This window comes from Homo sapiens, chromosome 9, assembly GCF_000001405.40.
Source record: "Homo sapiens chromosome 9, GRCh38.p14 Primary Assembly".
Taxonomy (NCBI): Eukaryota; Metazoa; Chordata; class Mammalia; order Primates; family Hominidae; genus Homo; species Homo sapiens.
Window position 1 is genome coordinate 125,347,288 of NC_000009.12, and position 21,236 is coordinate 125,368,523.

Sequence of the window (21,236 nt, forward strand, 5' to 3'; positions counted from 1 at the left end):
AACTTGTCCCAAAAGGGACAAGTTATCCATTGTCACCTGGTACTTATTTTAAAGGATTCTGTTTTCCTCATAATAGAATACTGAATAGCTTTCAGAAAAATGAGATATAGTCCCCAAGATAAATGAAGAGAAAAAGTGTATAAAAGTATAAATAGGGGCTGAGCACGGTGGCTCACACCTGTAATCCCAGCACTTTGGGGGGCCGAGGTGGGCAGATCACTTGAGGCCAGGAGTTTGAGACCAGCCTGGCCAATGTGGCAAAACCCCATCTCTACCAAAGATACAAAAAATTAGCTGCAAGTGGTGGCAGATGCCTGTAATCCTCAGATGGTTGAGGCATAAGAATTGCTTGATCCCAGGAGGCGGAGGTTGCAGTGAGCTGAGATGACGCTTACTGCACTCCAGTCTGGGCAAAAGAGCAAGACCCTGTCTCAAAAAAAAAAAAACAAACATAAATAGTATACTGCATAAATATGTGTTTATGCTTATATGCACGTAGAGTATCTCCTGGAAGAATCTCCCAACAAACTGGTCACATGAGTTGGCTCTGAGGAAGACTCCTAGGAAGCCTCAGAGGGAGAGTGGGCAGAAAGGAGAACTTCCTGTATTTTTTTATTTTGAATAGTTTCCAAATAGCAGAAGAATTGAAAGAATAATACAATGAAGGTTCATCTACCCTCTATCTAGACTTATCAATTCTTGACATTTTGCCACGTTCCGCCATATATAGAGAGTGTGTGTGTGTGTATATATATATGTTTTGTTTTTGTTTTTGTTTTTTTGTGAGACAGTCTCACTATGTCACCCAGGCTGGAGTGCAGTGGCACAATCATGGTTTACTGCTGCAGCCTCAACCTTCCCAGGCTAAAGTGATCCTCCCATCTCAGCTTCCTGAGTAGCTGGGACCACAAGCACGTTCCACTGTGCCCAGCTAACTTTTGTATATTTTTGTAGAGATGGGGCTTCGCCATGTTGCCCAGGCTGGTCTCTCCCTATATTTTTTCCTGAAGCATTTGAAATTATTTCCGAAGAATAAGGATATTTTCATATATGAACACAATATATTTATTATATTTATATATTTTTTTGTAGAGGTGAGGTCTCACTATGTTGCCCAGGCTGGTCTTGAAATCCTGAGCTCAAGCGATCTTCCTGCCTCATGCCTGTCCAAACTTTTTATTCGTTTTGATTGTATACATGTATGTGTTGTATTATATGTTCTTTTGTGTGTGTGGTTTTTTTCGAGATGGAGTCTTACTTTGTTGCCCAGGTTGGAGTACAGTGGTGCAATCTTGGCTCACTGCAACCTCCACCTCCCGAGTTTAAGCAACTCTCCTGCCTCGACCTCCCGAGTAGCTGGACCACAGGTGTGTGCCACCATACGTGGCTGATTTTTGTATTTTTCATAGAGACAGGGTTTCACCATGTTTTTCAGGCTGGTCTTGAACTCCTGACCTCATGTGATCCACCCACCAAAGCCTCCCAAAGTGCTGGGATTACAGGTGTGAGGCACCGCACCCAGCCGTGTATTCTTGATTAAGACATAAAACCAACTTTGGAAACCACAGATCTGACTTTGTTGCATGTGTGATTTGGTCCCTTGACTCACTCTTGGGTGTAGCAGGAAGACCTCCAGTAGAGAGAATCAGGAGACCTTAACCCATAGTCAACCTTGGCCATTGGCCAACCAAGAAATTTAGAGCAAGCCATTTTCTGACTGGGCAGGAGTCCATGTCTATAAAATGAGGGTATAAAATGATTTTTGAAGCCTCTTTTAGTTCTCTGGTTCAGTGATTCTAAGATGTTAACTTTATTAAGTTAATGTGAACTTTCATTATTTTGCATTAGTTCATTGTTTTGCATTAGTATTGGGATAAGAAGTAAAACCACTCTCTTCTCAGCAACTAGTCTCTTGATACATAATTGTTGCTATTGATAATTCAGTTAAGTATTTGAAGTTTGTTTTTTCTTTCTTTTTTTTCCAGAGAACTCTTATTATTAGTCAATGGTAATTTATTCTTGAGTTGCTCTGAATACCTACTAGTGCCATAATATTCCAAATGAACCTGGGTATCCGTTTCTTGGGGGTGGGTTTTGTTTAGAGGTTATGGGTGATGGTGAAAGTGCACATGATTCTCCCCGTGACGAAGCACTGCAGAACATCTCGGCTGATGATCTCCCAGACTCTGCAAGCCAAGCAGCCCACCCGCAGGATTCAGCTTTCTCTTACAGGTATTTCTTTTATAGGATTTGGGACTTTAGGGTTTGGACTTTTCAGCACCATTGCAGTCACGTCAAGTCAAGTGATGTTTTGAGTCAATAAATGTATAAAGCAGGGAGAGAAAAATGAAATGCTGTTTACTAAGAAGACTTTGTTTCAGTTGTAGATGTTATGTATCAAAGGTGTTAATTCAAGGATTTAAAAAACTCGCTGGGCGTGGTGGCTCACGCCTGTAATCCCAGCACTTTAGGAGGCCAAGACAGGTGGATCGCTGGAGCCCAGGAGTTGGAGACCAGCTTGGGCAACATAGCAAAATCCCATCTCTATAAAAAAGAAAAAGGAAAAAAAAAAAAAGAAGAAAGGGTTTCTTGTCAGGTAGTGAGCTTATTTTGTGGCGTCATCAGCGTTTCTAAAGAGATGTGCCAGAAGGCATTCCAAATCTGGGTGTTGGGAGCTTCTGACTTCCGTGGTCCCTCCCACTCTGCCATAATATGCTTTTCCGATTCTTATAGCACCCGTCATGGAACTCAGTGTATGAAAAAAGGTCAGAAAGGATTTGTTGTTTGATTCTGGTGCTTTAAAGAATGGTCCTTGCCCCGAGCACACCTGGCTCCTTGGGTAATTAGAAAGCCTGTTCTTTTAAGTGGAGTGTCAGTTAAGAATCATCTTCTTTAAAATGTTTGAAACATTTGAGTCCTAAGGTAACATTAATTTATATAGTAAATATTTGTAAAATGTGACCATATCTGGATAAAGAAATTAATGTATTTTCTACTCATTTTTCAGAGATGCAAAAAAGAAACTGAGGCTTGCTCTTTGCTCTGCGGACTCTGTTGCCTTCCCAGTGCTGACCCATTCAACAAGGAATGGTTTACCAGACCACACAGACCCAGAAGGTAAATTGCTGCAGGATCGTTTAATTTTTCCTATGTTTATGGGTTGCACCATATGAAATTGCCAGTATTCAGCTGTTGAAGCTGTACAGCAATTCCATATGGTTCAACTTAATATGTTTACATTAGTATCACTTAAGGGCACTTTGATTACTGATGATTTATTAAAGTATTTTCTAATTGGGAGTGGCAATACAGCTTAGTTCTAATGATACGTGACAAAGCAGAATTGACGTCCCAAATGCTGAATTAGCTTATTTAAGCACATGGAAATTCTCAAGAATAACAGAATTCTTGTATCTTTTATTTAGACAATGAAATTGTATGCTTCTTAAAAGTTCAAATAGCTGAAGCAATTAATTTACAAGATAAGAATCTAATGGCTCAACTTCAAGAAACAATGCGCTGTGTGTGCCGTTTTGATAATAGGACTTGTAGGAAACTGCTGGCTTCGATTGCTGAGGACTACAGGTAATATACCCCACCTGTTCAGCTTTTAAACCTAGTTGTTAGCTGCAAGTGTTTTCTTTTTTATCCTTATTTCAGAAATGAATCTAGGCTTCCTACAAAGTGCTTGGCTGTATTTTCCTGGATGTAGATTTCTGTGTTAGTCTGTTCTCACGCTGCTGATAAAGATATACCCGAGACTAGCCAATTTACCAAAGAAGAGGTTTATTGGACTTACAGTTCCATGTGGCTGGGAGGCCTCACAATCATGGCGGAAGGTGAAAGGCACATCTCACATGGCAGCAGACAAGAGAAGAGAACTTGTTCAGGGAAACCCCCCTTTTTCAAAACCATCAGATCTTGTGAGACTTATTCACTATCACGAGAACAGCACAGGAAAGACCTGTCCCCATTGATTCAATTACCTCCCACTGGGTCCCTCCCACAACACATGGGAATTCAAGATGAGATTCGGGTGGGGACACAGCCAAACCATATCTTTCTGCCCCTTGCTTCTCCCAACTCATGTTCTCACATTTCAAAACCAATCATGCCTTCCCAACAGTTGCCCAAAGTCTTAACTCATTTTAGCATTAACTCAAAAGTCCACAGTCAAAAATTTCATCTGAGACAAGGCAAGTCCTTTCTGCCTATGAACCTGTAAAATCAAAATCAAGTTAGTTACTTCCTAGATACAATGGAGGTGCAGGCATTGGGTAAATACAGCCATTCCAAATGAGAAAAATTGGCAGAAACAAAGGGGCTACAGGCCCCATCCAAGTCTGAAATCCAGCAGGGCAGTCAAATCTTAAAGCTTCAAAATGAACTCCTTTGACTCCGTGGCTCACATCCAGGTCACGCTGATGCAAGAGGTGGGTTCCCATGGTCTTTCTTTTTTTTTTTTCCCCCGAGATGGAATTTCGCTCTTGTTGCCCAGGCTGGAGTGCAATGGTGCGATCTTGGCTCACTGCAACCTCTGCCTCCTGGGTTCAAGCAGTTCCCCTGCCTCAGCCTCCCAAGTAGCTGGGATTACAGGCATGCGCCACCACGCCTGGCTAATTTTGTATTTTTTAGTAGAGATGGGATGTCACCATATTAGCCAGGCTGGTCTTGAACTCCTGACCTCAAGTGATCCACCTAACTCAGCCTCCCAAAGTGCTGGGATTACAGGTGTCAGCCACCACACCCAGCCAGGGTTCCCATGGTCTTAGGCAGCTCCGCTCCTGTGGCTTTGCAGGGTATAGCCACTTTTCTGGCTGCTTTCATGGGCTGGTGTGGAGTTGCTGGCTTTTCTAGGTGCACGGTGCAAACTGTCAGTGGATCTGCCATTCTGAATTCTGGAAGACAGTGGCTCTCTTCTCACAGCTCTACTAGGCAGTGCCCCAGTAGGGACTCTTTGTGGGGGCTCCGATCCCACATTTCCTTTCCGCACTGCCCTTGCAGAGGTTCCCCATGAGGACCCTGCCCCTGCGGCAAACTTCTGCCTGGGCATCCAGGCGTTTCTATACATCTTTTGAAATCTAGGTGGAGGTTCCCAAACCCCATTCTTGACTTCTGTGCACCCACAGGCTCAACACCTCATGGAATCTGCCGAGGCTTGGGGCTTGCACTCTCTGAAGCCACAGCCTGAGCTCTGTGTTGGCCCCTTTCAGCCATGGCTAGAGCGGCCGGAGGGCAGGGCACCAAGTCCCTAGGCTGCACACAGCATGGGGACCCTGGGCCTGGCCCATGAAACCATTTTTCCTCCTAGGCCTCTGGGCCTGTGATGAGAGGGTCTGCCATGGAGACCTCTGACATGCCCTGGAGACATTTTCCCCATTGTCTTGGGAATTAATATTCAGCTCCTCATTACTTATGCAAATTTCTATAGCCAGCGTGAATTTCTTCTCAGAAAATGGGATTTTGTTTTCTATCGCATTGTCAGGCTGCAAAGTTTCTGAACGTTTATGCTCTGTTTCCCTTATAAAACTGTATGCTGGCCAGCATGGTAGCTCATGCCTGTAATCCTAGCACTTTGGGAGGCCAAGGCAGGTGGATCACCCGAGGTCAGGAGTTCAAGACCAGCCTGGCTGACATGGTGAAACTCTGTCTCTCCTAAAAATACAAAAAATTAGCTAGGTATGGTGGTGGGTTCCTGTAATCCTAGCTACTTGGGAGGCTGAGACAGGAGAATCGCTTGAACCTGGAAGCGGAGGTTACAGTGAGCTGAGATCACGCCACTGCACTCCAGGCTGGGCAACAAGAGTGAAACTCTGTCTCAAGAAAAAAAAAAAAATGAATACCTTTAATAGCACCCAAGTCACCTCTTGAATGCTTTGCTGCTTAGAAATTTCTTCTGCCAGATACTCTAAATCATCTTTCTCAAGTTCAAAGTTCCACAAATCTCTAGGGCAAGGGCAAAATGCCACCAGTGTCTTTGCTAAAACATAACAAGAGTCACCTTTGCACCAGTTCCCAACAAGTTCCTCATCTCCACCTCAGCCTGGACCTTATCGTTCATATCACTGTCAGCATTTTCGTCAAAGCCATTCAACAAATCTCTAGGAAGTTCCATACTTTCCCACATTTTCCTGTCTTCTTCTGAGCCCTCCAAACTGTTCCATCCTCTGCCTGTTACCCAGTTCCAAAGCTGCTTTCACATTTTCGGGTGTCTTTTTAGCAGTACCCCACTCTCGGTACCAATTTACTGTATTTGTCTGTTATTATGCTGCTGATAAAGACATACCTGAGACTGGGCAATTTAACAAAAGAAAGAGGTTTAATTGGACTTAACAGTTCCATGTGGCTGGGGAGGCCTCAAAATTATGGCGGAAAGTGAAAGGCACATTTCACATGGCAGCAGACAAGAGAAGAGAGCTTGTGCAGGGAAATTCCGTTTTTTAAAACAATCAGATCTCTTGAGACTTAGTATCACGAGAACAGCACAGGAAAGACATGCCTCCATGATTCAATTCCCTCCCACAACACATGGAAATTCAAGATGAGATGTGGGTGGGGAATACAGCCAAATCATATCAATTTCTAAGCAACATATTTGGATATTTACTCTGGAAATGTAGTTACAAATGAGCAGTTCCAAATAGAAGAGTGCAATTTACTTCAGCTTTGCACAAAAGCAGGTAAAGAGGTATGCCTATATTTTGAGGCTAGAACAACTAGAATATCATATTTCTTTTCTTAGTGGTGATAGGAAAGCCTACTTTCCTGGACCAGAGAAGCAGATGTAAGTAGCCTTAGGAATTGCTGTGCTTTTTCTGCTGCCAGTCCCCTGCTCATGATTATGGAGAAAAATGTAACTGAGATGCTTAGGTAGTGAGGAGGCTTCAAGGCTTAGGGAATGGGCACTCTAGTAAATGTGACATTTAGACTATAAGCAAGTAATTGGTGGGGGATGTTTGTGACCTAGTGACATATAACCTGTATTTGTTGTTATTGTTGGTCATCTGTAGCTGTCAATTTCCTATTAAGTATGAGGTCCTATAGCTCCAGTATAAAATACACCAAGTATGCAGAGGGGCTTAGTAACATTTAGTGAATTAGGTAACTAAGTCTTCAGCCCCATAGATCCTCCCAAACAAAATGCAAAATGGGTGTCTGTTCTGCAGCTGGCACCATGATCAGTCTCTACCATGTCTGCAGCCTGACATGCTACTTTGTATATGTGCTACTGAAGAGAGCACAGACATGCTACTTTGTAAAACCAGTCTGTGCAGTAATTTTTCTAAAGAAAAGTTAGGACCCTTATTCTTCAAAGAGAGTATGCACTGAATATATCTGATGTCATGCAAAGTATTTTTCCTTTTAGAAAAAGAGCCCCATATATTGCTTATCTCACTCGTTGTCGACAAGGACTACAGACCACACAGGCTCACCTGGAAAGGCTATTGCAAAGAGTTTTGCGGGACAAAGAAGTGGCCAATCGATACTTTACCACTGTCTGTGTGAGATTACTGCTTGAGAGCAAAGAAAAGAAGATCAGGGAATTCATTCAAGGTAACTCAATACCTTTAGTTTAAGCATCTCTTCACCTGTAATACTGTTGGGAAGATTTAGAAATACTGTTTTGTTTTGCTAGTTTGTTCAAGTATCTGCATGCCTTAAATACCCAATTATTTTATGGAATCTTAATAAATTAAACTTTGATGTCAAACCAATAAATTGCATTTTTCTCCTGGATTGAATATCTGTAGCTTACTTTTTAAATTGGGGACATTGGTAAATTTTTGGATCTATACAAATTTTCTCATTTTTTTTAAAAAGCCAAACATATTTTTTTTAGAAACTTTTGAGACGGAGTCTTGCTCTGTCGCCAGGCTGGAGTACAGTGGCGTGATCTCGGCTCACTGCAACCTCTGTCTCCCTGGTAGCTGCCTCAGCCTCCCAAGTAGCTGGGATTATAGGCACGTGCCACCACGCCCAGCTAATTTTCATATCTTTAGTAGAGATGGGGTTTCACCATGTTGGCCAGAATGGTCTCAATCTCCTGACCTCGTGATCCGCCCACCTCGGCTTCCCAAAGTGCTGGGATTACAGGCGTGAGCCACTGTGCCTGGCCTAGAAACATATTTTTATAACAAATTCCTTGCACTTAAACTTTCACATATTTCTTGCTTTTTCTCCTGATTTAATTATATGGCTACATATTGTCCTAAAATAAACTACACTGAAACACTTTTGGCTTTAAGATCATGGTGTCTGCATAGCTAGTGATTAAAATTATTTCTATGATTTCCTTTTTAAAATTATTTAGATAGTTTTTATTAAACTATTTAAAAATTATTATTTTGCTTTGGAGACTTTCAGAAACTCACCGCAGCTGACGATAAAACTGCTCAGGTAGAAGATTTTCTGCAGTTTCTTTATGGTGCAATGGCCCAGGATGTCATATGGCAAAACGCGAGTGAAGAACAGCTTCAAGATGCACAGCTGGCCATTGAGCGAAGCGTGATGAACCGGATTTTCAAGCTCGCCTTCTACCCTAATCAAGATGGGGACATACTTCGCGACCAGTAAGTACTTCTATGTTGAGTGCCTATGTGGAACTACATAGGGATCTACCAGGTAGCCCATATTTTAGGCAAGCTATACGTGTAACTTAGTGTCTGATTGTAAAAGGAAATTCATTGGTTACCATTTTTCACCTGTCAGAGTTACATGATCACAAAGAATAATACCCAGTTTTCAGGGATGTGGGCAGTCAAGCTGGAAGGAGTAGAAATTGGTATAGCCTCTTTGGAAAGCACTGCTGTTTACTCTGCCTTAACTAATCTTCCCTTCCTTCTCGTGATTAAGTCTTACTTATGCTTCAGGTCTTGACTTAAGTATCGTTTCCCTGATGAAGCCTGTCCTGACTAGGTTACATCCTGTTAGGGCTCTCTCAGGCCTCGGTGCCTTTCTTTAGTACTTGCCACAGTTGCCATTTGACATCTGTTTGAGTCATGGTTTCTGAACCCAGCCCTACTAACATTTGGGGCCAGATTGTTGATGATGTGGGAGGCTGTCCTGTGCATTATAGGATCTTTAGGAGCATCCCTGACCTCTACACACAAGATGCCAGTAATACCCCACCAGTTGTGACAACCACATGTCTTCAGACATTCCCAAATGTCCCTTGTGGGGGCAAAATTCTCCCCTGTTCTTTTTTTCTTTTTCTTTTCTTTTGAGACAGGGTCTTGCCATGTCACCCAGGCTGGAGTGCAGTGGCATGATCACAGCTCACTGAAGCCTCAACCTCCCAGGCTTATGTGACAAGTGATCCTCCTACCTTGGCCTCCTCCCAAATTGCTGGTACTATAGGTGCACACCATGACACCTGGCTGATTTTGTTTTTATTTATTTATTTAGACAGAGTGTCACTCTGCTGCCTAGGCTGGAGTGCAGTGGCGTGATCTCAGCTCACTGCAGCCTCTGCCTCCTGGGCTTAAGCGATTCTCCTGCCTCAGCCTCCCAAGCAGCTGAGACTACAGGCATGTGCCACCATGCCCTGCTAATTTTTTTTGTATTTTTAGTAGAGATGGGGTTTCACCATGTTGGCCAGGCTGGTGTCGAACTTCTGACCTCAGATGATCCGCTCGTCTTGGCCTCCCAAAGTGCTGAGATGACAGGCATGAGCTGTTGCGCTCAGCCTTGTTTATTTTTTGTAGAGACGAGGTCTTGCTGTGTTTCCGAGGTTGGTCTCAAACTGCTAGACACAAGCGATCCTTCTGCTTCAGCCTCCCAAAGTGCTGGGATAAGAGCTAGGATAACAGGGCATGAGCCACCATGCCTGGCCTCTCCCCTGTTCTTAATCACTGGTTTGTGTGATCCTTTGATGAATGTTCTCTCCACACTGCCTTATTCCCTCTGCGAGACCAGGAAATAATGCTTTTATTAACCATTCTAACAGCACCAGGCACAGTGGTTGGCTTCTAATATATGCTCATTATATATTTATTAAGAATGAACAGTTGGTCGGGCTTCATGGCTCACACTTGTAATCGCAGCACTTTGGGAGGCCAAGGCAGGTGGATCACCTGAGGTCAGGAGTTCGAGACCAGCCTGGCCAGCATGGTGAAAACCCATCTCTACTAAAAATACAAAAATTAGCTGGGTGTGGTGGCATGCGTGTATAGTCCCAGCTGCTCAGGAGGCTGAATAGGGAGGATCACTTGAACACAAGAGGCAGAGGTTGCAGTGAGCTGAGATCGCGCCACTGCACTCCAGCCTAGGCAACAGAGTGAGACTCTGTCTAAAAAAAATGAGAGAGAGAGAATGAACAGTTAAGTATTTGAATACCAGAAAATGCTTGGAATTGTATGGCTTGTGAGTTATATCTCAATAAAGCTGTTTAAAAATATTAATCCTGGCTGGGCGCAGTGGCGTATGCCTGTAATCCCATCACTTTGGGAGGCCGAGGCAGGTGGATCACCTGAGGTTCAGGAGTTGGTGACCAGCCTGGCCAACATGGTGAAACTGTGTCTGTACTAAAAATACAAAAATTAGCCAGGCATGATGGCTCACACCTGTCATGCCAGCTACTTGGGAGACTGAAGCAGGAGGATTGCTTGAACCCAGGAGGCAGAGGTTGCAGAGAGCCAAGATCACACCACTGCACTCCAACCTGGACAACAGAGCGAAGCTCTGTCTTTAAAAAAAAAAAACACACACACACACACACACAAAACAATTAATCTTGGGAAAAATTAACCTGGAATAGTAATAGCGATTATTTTTGGGTAAAGAGACTAGGGAAGATTTTGCAGTTTTATTTTTCCTCCTCTGTATTTTCTCCTTTTTTTGAGATAGTCTCACTCTGTCACCCAGGCTGGAGTGCAATGGCGCAATCTTGGCTCACTGCAACCTCCACCTCCCAAGTTCAAGTGGTTCTCCTGCCTCAGCCTCCTGAGTAGCTGGGATTACAGGCACATGGCACCATGCCCAGCTAATTTTTGTATTTTTAGTAGAGATGGGTTTTCACCATGTTGCTCAGGCTGGCCTCGAACTCCTGACCTCAAGTGATCCACCCACCTTGGCCTCCTGAAGTACTGGGTTTACAGGCATGAGCCACCCCGCCCGGCCTTCTGTATTTTCTTGAGCACTGCTTCATAACCCTGTTTCTGACCTCAACCATGTTAAAGTTGTTACCATGCTTCTTAACAGTGACAGTGGCTTACTGTGCCTGACTCCCAGGGGTCCGTGTAATAGGATCCTCGGGGTGTGGGTTATGTTTGTATGAAATATTTTTCATGGAGATTTTCAGATGTTGCATAGATATTTGAGAGAATTCACTTTCCTGTGAAGTGGGTTAGGATCCTTCCAATCTGCCTTCCTCATTTGTTTATGGTCTCACAGTGTTTGGCCCACCCCAGACTTCTGTGCTTAATATGCCAGATGGGGCCTGTTTTCTCTCCAGAGCACTAGTTTTTGCCTTTAGGCATAGGATAAGGAATGGGGACATTCAAACCATATAGACTACAAACAGCAACTTTGAAGGAGATTATTTTTCCCCACCCTCCGTGGCATTTCTGTGGGGTTTATAGAGGGTGGAAAGCCAAAAGAGGAATTGGAAGGAACACGAGCAGCCAGGAAGCTGGGTTCAGCCCCTGTTACTGACACCTGTGTAGCTTAGGCAAGCCTTTTCCCTTTTTAAGCCTACTTCTCTTCATCTACAAAGTGAAAGGTTGGGTGAATGGTGGAGGCCCTTCTCCATGTAATTAATATCTTTGGTTTCTGGCTTTTGATCCTTCTACTTCCTCTCACTTTTTCCCCCCCTCTCCTTTTCCTCTACCTTACAAAATAATGTGTCCAAGCAGCTCCTACCAAGGGCTCCTCTCCTTTCTTCCTTGCAGTGCTGTCTGGTCCAGAGAGGAAAGACTCCCTCCCCTCCCTGCATCCCCTTGGCTCACTCAGCATTTCTGAGCAGATTAGAAAGAATACTTATCTAAGAGGCTCAACTCTAACTGTAATCCATATCTAGCTGTAATCCATATCTAGTCAACATGTTTCACGTGTTTTGTAAAAATCAATGATGACTGTTTGTGTACCATATTTTCTGAAATGAATGTTTACATGTGTATTTTGGGGGGTTTTCAGGGTTCTTCATGAACATATCCAGAGATTGTCTAAAGTAGTGACTGCAAATCACAGAGCTCTTCAGATACCAGAGGTAATACAGGTTTATATAGCATGGGTAATGTTAACTAAATGCTGCGTGTTATTATACCATATAATGTTACCACGTGTTCAAGGAACTGAAATGTGATAAAATATAAAACATCATTTTCACTCTATGTAATTCAGTCTAACTGCGAAGTTCCTGAAGATGCTTTCAGGGATTAAAATTCCCTGGTATGAAATAGTAGAAAGCCAGTTGTGAGGAGCCCTTCCTTGATGCCACTTCTCAAGTCAGCCCTGCTCTCAGGGGCAGTACCTCTCCATCAGTGCTTTTATAGTCAGGTTTCTACAGAAATGTTTTGAAGAAGTGGGAGGCTGATAGCACTCCAAAGAGTGAGATATGCTGTCTCAGGAGAGGTCATTGAGTCTGCATGTGATCTCAGATTACCTTTTAGTCATTGATATTAGCATTTTTACCTGTCCTACATCTCTTAGAAAATAAGAAAACATGAAAATTTCAGGTATTTGAGCTTTCTGTTTGTTTTTGTTACAACCCCCACTAATGAGACATGAATTAGCATAAAATTTTAAATTATCTTTAGTTTTTTGAATCTGTTATTTCTGGAATTACTGCAACAATGGTACATATTTTTAAATTAACCTCTTTTATCACATGTGATAAATCTAGTTCCTGTGTAGAGCCAGTTTAAGCTAGTTTTAAGGAAAAGTCCTCTTTTAGTAGTTTGTACTTCTGGAATCAGCTACTAAATGTAGAGAAGTTCCATTCTAGCTATTTAAGAAAGAGAATGGTTTGAAATTTTGTGAATTCTAGCTTCTGTGCTGTTGAATGCCCTTTTTCTATTAATGGATATCTGGTTTGCTGTATTTTAAAATTCAGAGCAACTTATTTAAAAGTTCTAAAGTTACAATCTTTAGTGAAGGGGAAAGGGGCCTGCAATATGGTTTTACCAAAGAGAGGAAAAAGCAACCACATTATCCTCTGCCTCCTGACACGGAGGTTGCAGTAGTCACTGCGCAGGGTTGCCACTGGATTCAGAATCTGTATATTGTCTATGGTCTCACTTAGGTTTATCTTCGAGAAGCACCATGGCCATCTGCACAATCAGAAATCAGGACAATAAGTGCTTATAAAACCCCCCGGGACAAAGTGCAGTGCATCCTGAGAATGTGCTCTACGATTATGAACCTCCTGAGCCTGGCCAATGAGGACTCTGTCCCTGGAGCGGATGACTTTGTTCCTGTGTTGGTGTTTGTGTTGATAAAGGTGGGCCCCTTACTACTATCAGTTAAGGAGTTATGTGGCATTCTGAGCAGGTGGCACAGGGCTTCACACAACCATAGATATCTTGGCTCTTTTCCAAGTCACAAGCTCTGGGTTACTCAGAAAGAAAGTGCCTAATGTCAAGATTTGTTCTTTTGAGACAGAATCTCACTCTGTCACCCAGGCTGGAGTGCAGTAGTGTGATCTCAGCCCACTGCAACCTCCATCTCCTGGGTTCAAGCAATTCTCATGCCTCAGCCACCCAAATAGCTGGGATTACAGGCGTGCGTCACCATGCCCAGCGAATTTTTTTTCATTTTTGCTAGAGACAGGGTTTCGCCATGTTGGCCAAGCTGGTCTCGTGGTCTCCAGCTGGCCTCAAGTGATTCGCCCGCCTCAGCCTCCTGAAGTGTTGGGATCATAGACATGAGCCACCGCGCCCAGCCAAGATTTGTTCTTACCTTAGGATTTTCGAAAGAAAGGATGGGAGGACTAGATTCCTAGATGAACATTTTCAGCTAAAAAGCAGTGCCTAGGTTGGGCGCGGTGGCTCACGCTTGTAATCCCAGCACTTTGGGAGGCCGAGGAGGGTGGATCACGAGGTCAGGAATTCAAGACTAGCTTGGCCAAGATGGTGAAACCTCATCTCTACTAAAAATACAAAAATTACAGGCTCCTGTAATCGCAGCTACTTGGAAGGTTGAGGCAGGAGAATCACTTGAACCTGGGCAGCAGAGCTTGTAGTGAGCCGAGATCACACTGCTGCACTCCAGCCTGGGCAACAGAGTGAGACTCCATCTTAAAAAAAAAAAAAGCAGTGCCTGAAGTTCTTAGTTGGGGCTCAGTATATAATTATTGGATGAATGGATGAGGGCAGGTTCTTTATATTATACTTTTACCATCTTCTTTAATATGGAATTCCTTGCAGTACTTGTCATATAGGCTACCAAACTTACCAATCTCCTTCCTCTTTTAGCTTCTTATTTTGTAATTGTAGTATAAAAGTACTGACATCTCTAGTTCTTGTTGACTTTAAAATTAAAGTTTCATCATTTAAATGGTTTATTTTGAACATTTTGAGGGTGACCATGTAGTTTGGGTGCACACAGCCACTAAGTGATCGTATCACTTGTGTGTTGCAGTCAGCTCAGCCCAGCTGTTGCTGTCTAAAGTGTGTGTGACATATGTCTTACTATTTCTTAGTGTTGTGATATTTCTACAACCTGAACACTTAGCTTGGAGGGAGAAACCCATGGGGTTGGTCGTCACAGCTCCTCCTGTTGGCCATCGCTCTTCTGGCTTCCACATGTGATAAATCTAGTTCCTGTGTAGAGCCAGTTTAAGCTAGTTTTAAGGAAAAGGCCCTAGCTCTTCCTCTTAACCATTTAACAGCCTGTGCCCTTTCTCACCACATGAAAAAGGTAAAAAAAATTCAGGAGATGTCCTCTGTTACCTCTGGCAACAGAGGGCATGTCATCTTTTTTAGTTTTTTCTTTCTCAGCTTATTCTCCCTGGACTTACCAGATATAACTCAATTTGCCTACAGCATTTATTTTGTTATCTAACATTCTGAAATCCGGGGATGTTGAGTAAGACCACAGAGATTAGTTCAGCCTTCTTAGAAATCAGTGAGGTTAAGGACTTGCAAGGATAGAAACCTCTAGATAGATTAGCTGAGATTAGAACCTGGGTTGCCTTTCCAGCATATTATTGCTACTCATGGAAACTAGGGTTCACAGATTACTTCCAAAAAATAACTTTGGGGTTGTTTTCAAAAGGATTGGTATGTCTTTCATAGAAGAACATTCGAAGAACACTTAAATGATTTTGGCAGAGCTATGACATCTGAGTAATTGATTCTTTTTTATTTTTCACTTCTCTAGGCAAATCCACCCTGTTTGCTGTCTACTGTGCAGTATATCAGTAGCTTTTATGCTAGCTGTCTGTCTGGAGAGGAGTCCTATTGGTGGATGCAGTTCACAGCAGCAGTAGAATTCATTAAAACCATCGATGACCGAAAGTGACCAAGACCAAGGCCCACCAAGGCAGCAGACTGTTAATCAGACAAACAGATCTCTGAGAAGGTGCATCAGCTGCTTTGAAGGCTGAAGATTGTTTTGTATGATACTGCACAGCATCAGGCATTTTAAAGCAGATCTTTACTAAACAGGTTAATGAGCTAACAAGCAGGTTCTCTCGTCTTTGGGCTCTTTCCTTTCTGAGTTGCATATTCTATTTTCTTGTCCCCAAGTAGAGACTAGTACTACAAAAAGGGACCACATTTTTCAAGTATTTCTAAGTATAAAAAACAAAACAAAAATCTCTTAGGAAATGTCTAGACCTCCATTCTTGGATTCCCTTTCTTTCCTTTTATTTTAAAAAAGAACAGTACCCCTCTTTTAAGATGCTGTCTTACATTAATGAGCATCTAATGGAAAGAAGGTATGAGTTGCACTGAGGATTAGAATAGTGGTGCGTTAGTGGCATTATCTATAAATACACTCACCTAAATTGAAAGCTAAGAAGGAAATGTAAATATAATATATATTTATATTTGATGTAATATGGACATCTGCAGATTCTAATAAACAAGGACTATTGCTGATAGTAGGCTGTGACATACTGTCTTGTGAAATGGTTTCCTTGACAAAATTTAAGCTGAGCTTAAAAGCAAAAAACAAAAAGTACACAGAAATATTTATTAAAATGTAATACAGTTTATTGAACTTTCTAGGTATGGAGTTTGATGGACAGGGCTGCCTTTAATGAGTGTGAAGGTCACTAAGTCACTTAGACATCTCACCGTGGAAGTTTGTGAGCCTGCATTAGGAGATAGACTGATTACCATACATGACATAAAAAGGAACAGTGGATAGCTCATACTTTATGGTGGTTCTTCTCCTCCGAAATAATATACTGCAGAAATCCCAGACAGAGCTCCTTACAAACCTTTAATTGTAATATATTTTTGATGATTATTCACATTGAATGCACAGACCAAGAATTCAGTGAATGTCATTTTTTAAAAAACTAATTTGTATTGTCTGCTCTAGTGATACAAGTTTTACTAGTGATAAACTATTTTAATCAACCATACTATTCTTATGGAAAAAAATATCTATTTTGGCAGGTTTCTGTGCCTTTATTTCCCTCTTCTGAAAAAAAGTCTGTGTTTTCATAGTTTGGTTTGCATTGTATATCAATAATTAATCAGGAATGGGTTTTGGTGCCTGAAAAATTGGCCATGGAGGCACACCAAAGCTTCAAGCACAAGTCTTGTACATGGGCCATCACTGTCTGGTTTCACTTCGTGTGTTTCCTAAACACATTTAGCTGCTTTTTTAACAAACTCAGCCCCATACTTGAGTCCCTTGTTGTTGGGAGCATTTCCAGGCATCTTTTAAGGGAACTGTGACAAACAGCCTCGGGCAGATGAACACGGAGGCTCTCTGTTGTCTGTCTCTGAGATCTTTGTGTCTGGGAATGCCTAAAGATTTTATTTTTTTTTCTTTGTTTTTATTTTATTTTATTTTATTTTTTTGAGACAGAGTCTCACCCTGTTGCCCAGGCTGGAGTGCAATGGTGCGATCTTGGCTCACTGCAACCTCCACCTCCCAGTTCAAGTGATTCCCCTGCCTCAGCCTCGCGAGTAGCTAGGACTACAGGCGCATGTCACCAAGCCCGGCTAATTTTTGTATTTTTAGTAGAAACGGGGTTTCACCATGTTGGCCAGGATGATCCTCAATCTCCTGACCTCGTGATCCACCCGCCTTGGCCTCCCAAAGTGCGGGATTACAAGCGTGAACCACCCTGCCCAGCCAGAAACTAGATTTTCTTTATGCCTCCACCCCTTCTTATTCATTTACTTTACAATACCAAAATAACAAATTGCATAGGAGTGTGGGATGTGGTTTCTGCCTTCTAGAGAGAGATCAGAATTAAACTAGTACTATGAAATGTCCTTTTGAATGTTAGGTCAAGAAATCCATGTACAGAGTCGTGCACTTCATTGGCTGTAACTGTCAAACTTGCCTTGTATTAGAAGTTAAATCCCATCGTAAATACATCACGAGGCCAGCTGTGTGATTTCTGAGACCTAGATGAGAGTCCATTTACTTCAGCCTTTGATTCAGTAAATGTTAAGCAGCAGAAGACTTCGAATGGTTGAAATTCATTGTTACAGGATTTAACTCATAAACCAATGAGAGATTTTTTTTTTCTCTGCAATGGTTGCTAAGTCTATTCCATGTTAACACTGTGGAAATAAATATGAAGATGTGGACATTGCATCGGGGCTCTTTTCTGTGGAAGAGAAGGTGGTGGGATTGGGGTGAAGGGCTACACTGGAGGCAGGAGATAGGGCTGTGCTGTGTTGGAGCCGGGGCTGAGGGTAGACCCCCCAGAGATTTGACATCTGTGACACCTGTGAAATGGGTTCGGGTGCTCATGACTCCATAGCTGGCGGAGGAGCACAGCACAGCTGTTGCAGGGGCAGCTAAGGTTTCCTCTGAAAATCTGTCAGGAGCAAGGACTACTTTGGCATTAACCATCACTGTTTGATTTCTTGACAGGTATGTGAGATGGGGAGTGATTTGATTTTTTTTTTTTTTTTTAATAGAAAAGAGGAATAGTTGTTCCCCAAATGTTTCTTCCTCCACTGCCTTCCAGTACTTTCTTTACATGAAAGATTAGTGTAAAAGTACAAAATCAGCCCAGGAAACATTCAGCAGCCACTAGTTACTACATAGAATTTATAAAGTGGATGTTAAATGGAGAGAGAGTTGGCTCAGGTCCCCTGAAATCTTGTAGGATTAACTTCTCTGAGGAAAAGAAAAATCAGGTTTGCATTTTGTATTAATATTCTGCTTTTAGAAGTAATAGAAATACAAGTTGAAGATTGTCTTTACTTACAAAATTATATTTTAATTTTTTTTGAGACATAGTCTTGCTCTGTCACCCAGTCTGGAGTGCAGTGCTGTGATCTCGGCTCACTGTAACCACCATCTCCCAGTCTCTAGTGATTCTCATGGCTCAGCCTCCCTGGTTGCTCAGATTACAAGTGTATGCCACCACACCCAGCTAATTTTTGTATTTTTTGTAGAGACAGGGTTTCGCCATGTTGGCCAGGCTGGTCTCGAACTCCTGGCCTCAAGTGATCCGCCTACCTCGGCTTCCCAAAGTGCTGGGATTATAGGCGTGAGCCACCGTGCCCAACCACAAAATTATATGTATATATATTTAAACGTGTCAAACATTTTGCTTTCTTTCTCCATTTTAGGTAAAATCTCAGCCACAGTAATTGCTTTCTTCTGCTTTTTCTTTATAAAAACCTGCTTATGAAGGCCTTCTGATACAGATAGTTAAATCGCTGTAGTAGGAGGCTCAGGTTTTCTAAGGGATTGCAAATGTGCTGCATGGTTTTTCTATTCCTATGTCCTGGAAGCCTTTGTTTAAAGTGGGCTTTACAAATGTGTCCCTGAGGTGCGTGAGCAAGAGAACAATCTCAGCCCCAATACGGGGGCTGTGTTCTTGCCGTAAGAATCTGTAGCTGACTGGTGTGCTGAACCCGGGCACTCTTTTTCCTATTGTTTGCCATGGAAATTTCCACTTTGGACCGAGTAAGGTCAACTAGGTGTTTTAAAATTGTTTTTCTCCTATGTGATTGGGTGTGAAGAGGGAAAGTAGGAATACACTCAGAATTATTACTGGATTGCATAAAAGTGATAGAAGTGTAGTGGGGTTCACTTCCTCAATTGGTGCTTCCTAGATTTTTCTCTCCCATCTCTTCCTGCTTTGTTTCTTTAAAGAAAAGGCTGTTGTCTCTCTTTTTAAATATTTAAGTCTAGTGAGTTTATTTTGTACGCAATTGCTTTAATTTTAAGGGAAGTAAATCTGAAACTATCTTGAAGCCCAAAGGATTTTTAGTAAGTGGATTAACAGTGATGAGGTATTTGCGATTACTTTAAATGCCAAAATGCTTGAGAACTTTGCCAGGTTAAAAATTACTTAATATATTTTAGAATGTAGGTTAGAAAGTAGTAGGACAAGGAATAGCTTTATTACTCTTGAGAACACTTGGATAAATGAAAATATAGTTTGCTTCCGTGTTAAGTTGTGGTTGAGCTATGGAGTGACCCTGGAGCTGCCGCATCCCACAGGCCTGAGCTCAGCAAGGGTTCAATTCAAGAGAGATGACGTCTCCACTTGGATAATGGCAGACAGTGTGGGTAGCGGCCATGCACTAGGGGAATTCACCTCTGTCAAATTAATACTCTCCTGTCTACTGGATTCTTCTTGTGCTTCACCTGGATTAAAAAGCTGTACTGCCTCTTTTGAAACAGATAAAACCTTTCTATAAGTCTCAATTAATGAGCTTGCACAATCTTGTATATGTACAGGAAACCCCTCCTGTCTCCTAATGTGATTAGTACTGTAAAATATTCTATAAAACTGATTAAAAGGGGAGAGCAGTTTGATTCACAGGGTTTTATGTTTCTGTCATCTATTTTATATTCAGAAGCATTTCTGAAAACGTATTTGACTTCCGAATGTTCTGATGTTCTCCGTGAATTCACACACATCTTTTTTATCTGAACAATAAGGGTGTTTGCTAAGTATGGCACAAGAAGGAACTAGAATGACCTGGCAGTAACTAACACAATGGTGAACATCTAAGGGTTTTTTTTTTTTTTTTTTTGAGACAGGGCCTGGCTCTGTCGCCCAGGCTGGAGTGCAGAGGCAGGATCTAGGGTCACTGCAAACTCTGCCTCCTGTTCTCAAAGATCCTCCAGCCTCAGCCTTCCCAGTAGCTGGGACAACAGGCATACGCTACCACACCTGACTAATATTTGTATTGTTTGTAGAGGCAGGGTTTTGCCATGTTGCCCAGTCTCCTGAGCTCAAGCGATCTGCCCGCCTCAACCTCCCAAAGTGCTGGGATTACAGGCGTGAGCCACTGCACCCAGACCTTCATCTATGGATTTAACAGTTTCTGCCTAATGCCTATATTTGGTAGCTATTTATCATTTTTCATTTTGAAAGCAAAAGTGTTGCCATCTAATCACAATATTCATTTAGGCCTTTATTAATCTTTCCAGCCAAGGGAAGTTACTTTTGACAAGGAGTACTAACTCATTCTTCAGGCTTCCCTTGCTGGTGAGAAGGCGCTTTTCTTATATTGATTGCACTTCATTTAGAAGGAAATAGTTAAAAACTTGCTTACGGCCCATTTCCATTTGCTCTGTTCAGTATTTTTTTTTTTTTTTTTGAGGCAGAGTTTTGCTCTTGTTACCCAGGCTGGAGTGCAATGGCTCGATTTTGGCTCACTGCAACCTTCGCTTCCCAGGTTCAAGCAGTTCTGCCTCAGCCTCCTGAGTAGCTGGAATACAGGCATGCGCCACCACGCCCAGCTGATTTTGTATTTTTAGTAGAGACGGGGTTTCGCCATATTGGTCAGGCTGGTCTCGAACCCCTGACCTCAGGTGATCCACCTGCCTCGGCCTCCCAAAGTGCTGAGATTACAGGTGTAAGCCACCGCACCCGGCCCACTCTTCAATATTAAAACGAGTGGTATGACGCCTAGAACCAAAAATAGCATTCAGCTTTTCTTGCCAACTTGGAATTTACCTGTGTCGCTTGGACTGCTGTTACGCTTGTACCCACTCAACCCTTTCCGCAAGTACAGGGCTCCGTAGCTTTTCCTCACAGGATGCTGAGCTACTGACACTAGCTTCACGAGCCTGCCTGCCATACTGCTGCAAAATGGGTGGTGATCCTGTAGAGAGAAACCAGGGCTGAAGCT

At 42.5% G+C, this 21,236-nt stretch overlaps 1 protein-coding gene across 56 annotated transcripts in view, besides 2 other annotated features; it reads left to right on the forward strand.

Annotated features, from left to right (window-relative positions):
* The window catches only part of GAPVD1 (GTPase activating protein and VPS9 domains 1), a 105,382-nt gene extending 85,462 nt beyond the window's left edge, over nucleotides 1-19,920 (forward strand). For all 56 annotated transcript variants that reach the window (NR_148732.2, NR_148733.2, XM_047423183.1 and 53 more), the window contains 8 exons: nucleotides 2,103-2,232; nucleotides 3,008-3,117; nucleotides 3,426-3,585; nucleotides 7,367-7,554; nucleotides 8,357-8,570; nucleotides 12,133-12,205; nucleotides 13,241-13,438; nucleotides 15,319-19,920. Coding sequence is in view for 54 of the 56 variants with exons in the window: in XM_047423183.1 (XP_047279139.1) it covers nucleotides 2,103-2,232; nucleotides 3,008-3,117; nucleotides 3,426-3,585; nucleotides 7,367-7,554; nucleotides 8,357-8,570; nucleotides 12,133-12,205; nucleotides 13,241-13,438; nucleotides 15,319-15,459 (1,214 nt within the window). In the remaining 2 variants the exon portion in view is untranslated. The remainder of the gene's footprint in view (nucleotides 1-2,102; nucleotides 2,233-3,007; nucleotides 3,118-3,425; nucleotides 3,586-7,366; nucleotides 7,555-8,356; nucleotides 8,571-12,132; nucleotides 12,206-13,240; nucleotides 13,439-15,318) is intronic.
* Nucleotides 5,560-5,733: a silencer, noted in NCBI's record as "fragment chr9:128115126-128115299 (GRCh37/hg19 assembly coordinates)". NCBI's record gives its function as "represses an EF-1alpha promoter that drives an FKBP-Casp9 reporter gene in an ReSE screen in phorbol 12-myristate 13-acetate-treated (for megakaryocytic differentiation) K562 erythroleukemia cells {active_cell/tissue: K562(+PMA)}" and the evidence as "EXISTENCE:reporter gene assay evidence [ECO:0000049][PMID:32094911]".
* Nucleotides 14,563-14,857: an enhancer, noted in NCBI's record as "tiled region #13338; K562 Activating DNase matched - State 12:CtcfO". NCBI's record gives its function as "activates a minimal TATA promoter and a strong SV40 promoter by Sharpr-MPRA in K562 cells {active_cell/tissue: K562}" and the evidence as "EXISTENCE:reporter gene assay evidence [ECO:0000049][PMID:27701403]".
* Nucleotides 19,921-21,236: the final 1,316 nt, after the last annotated feature.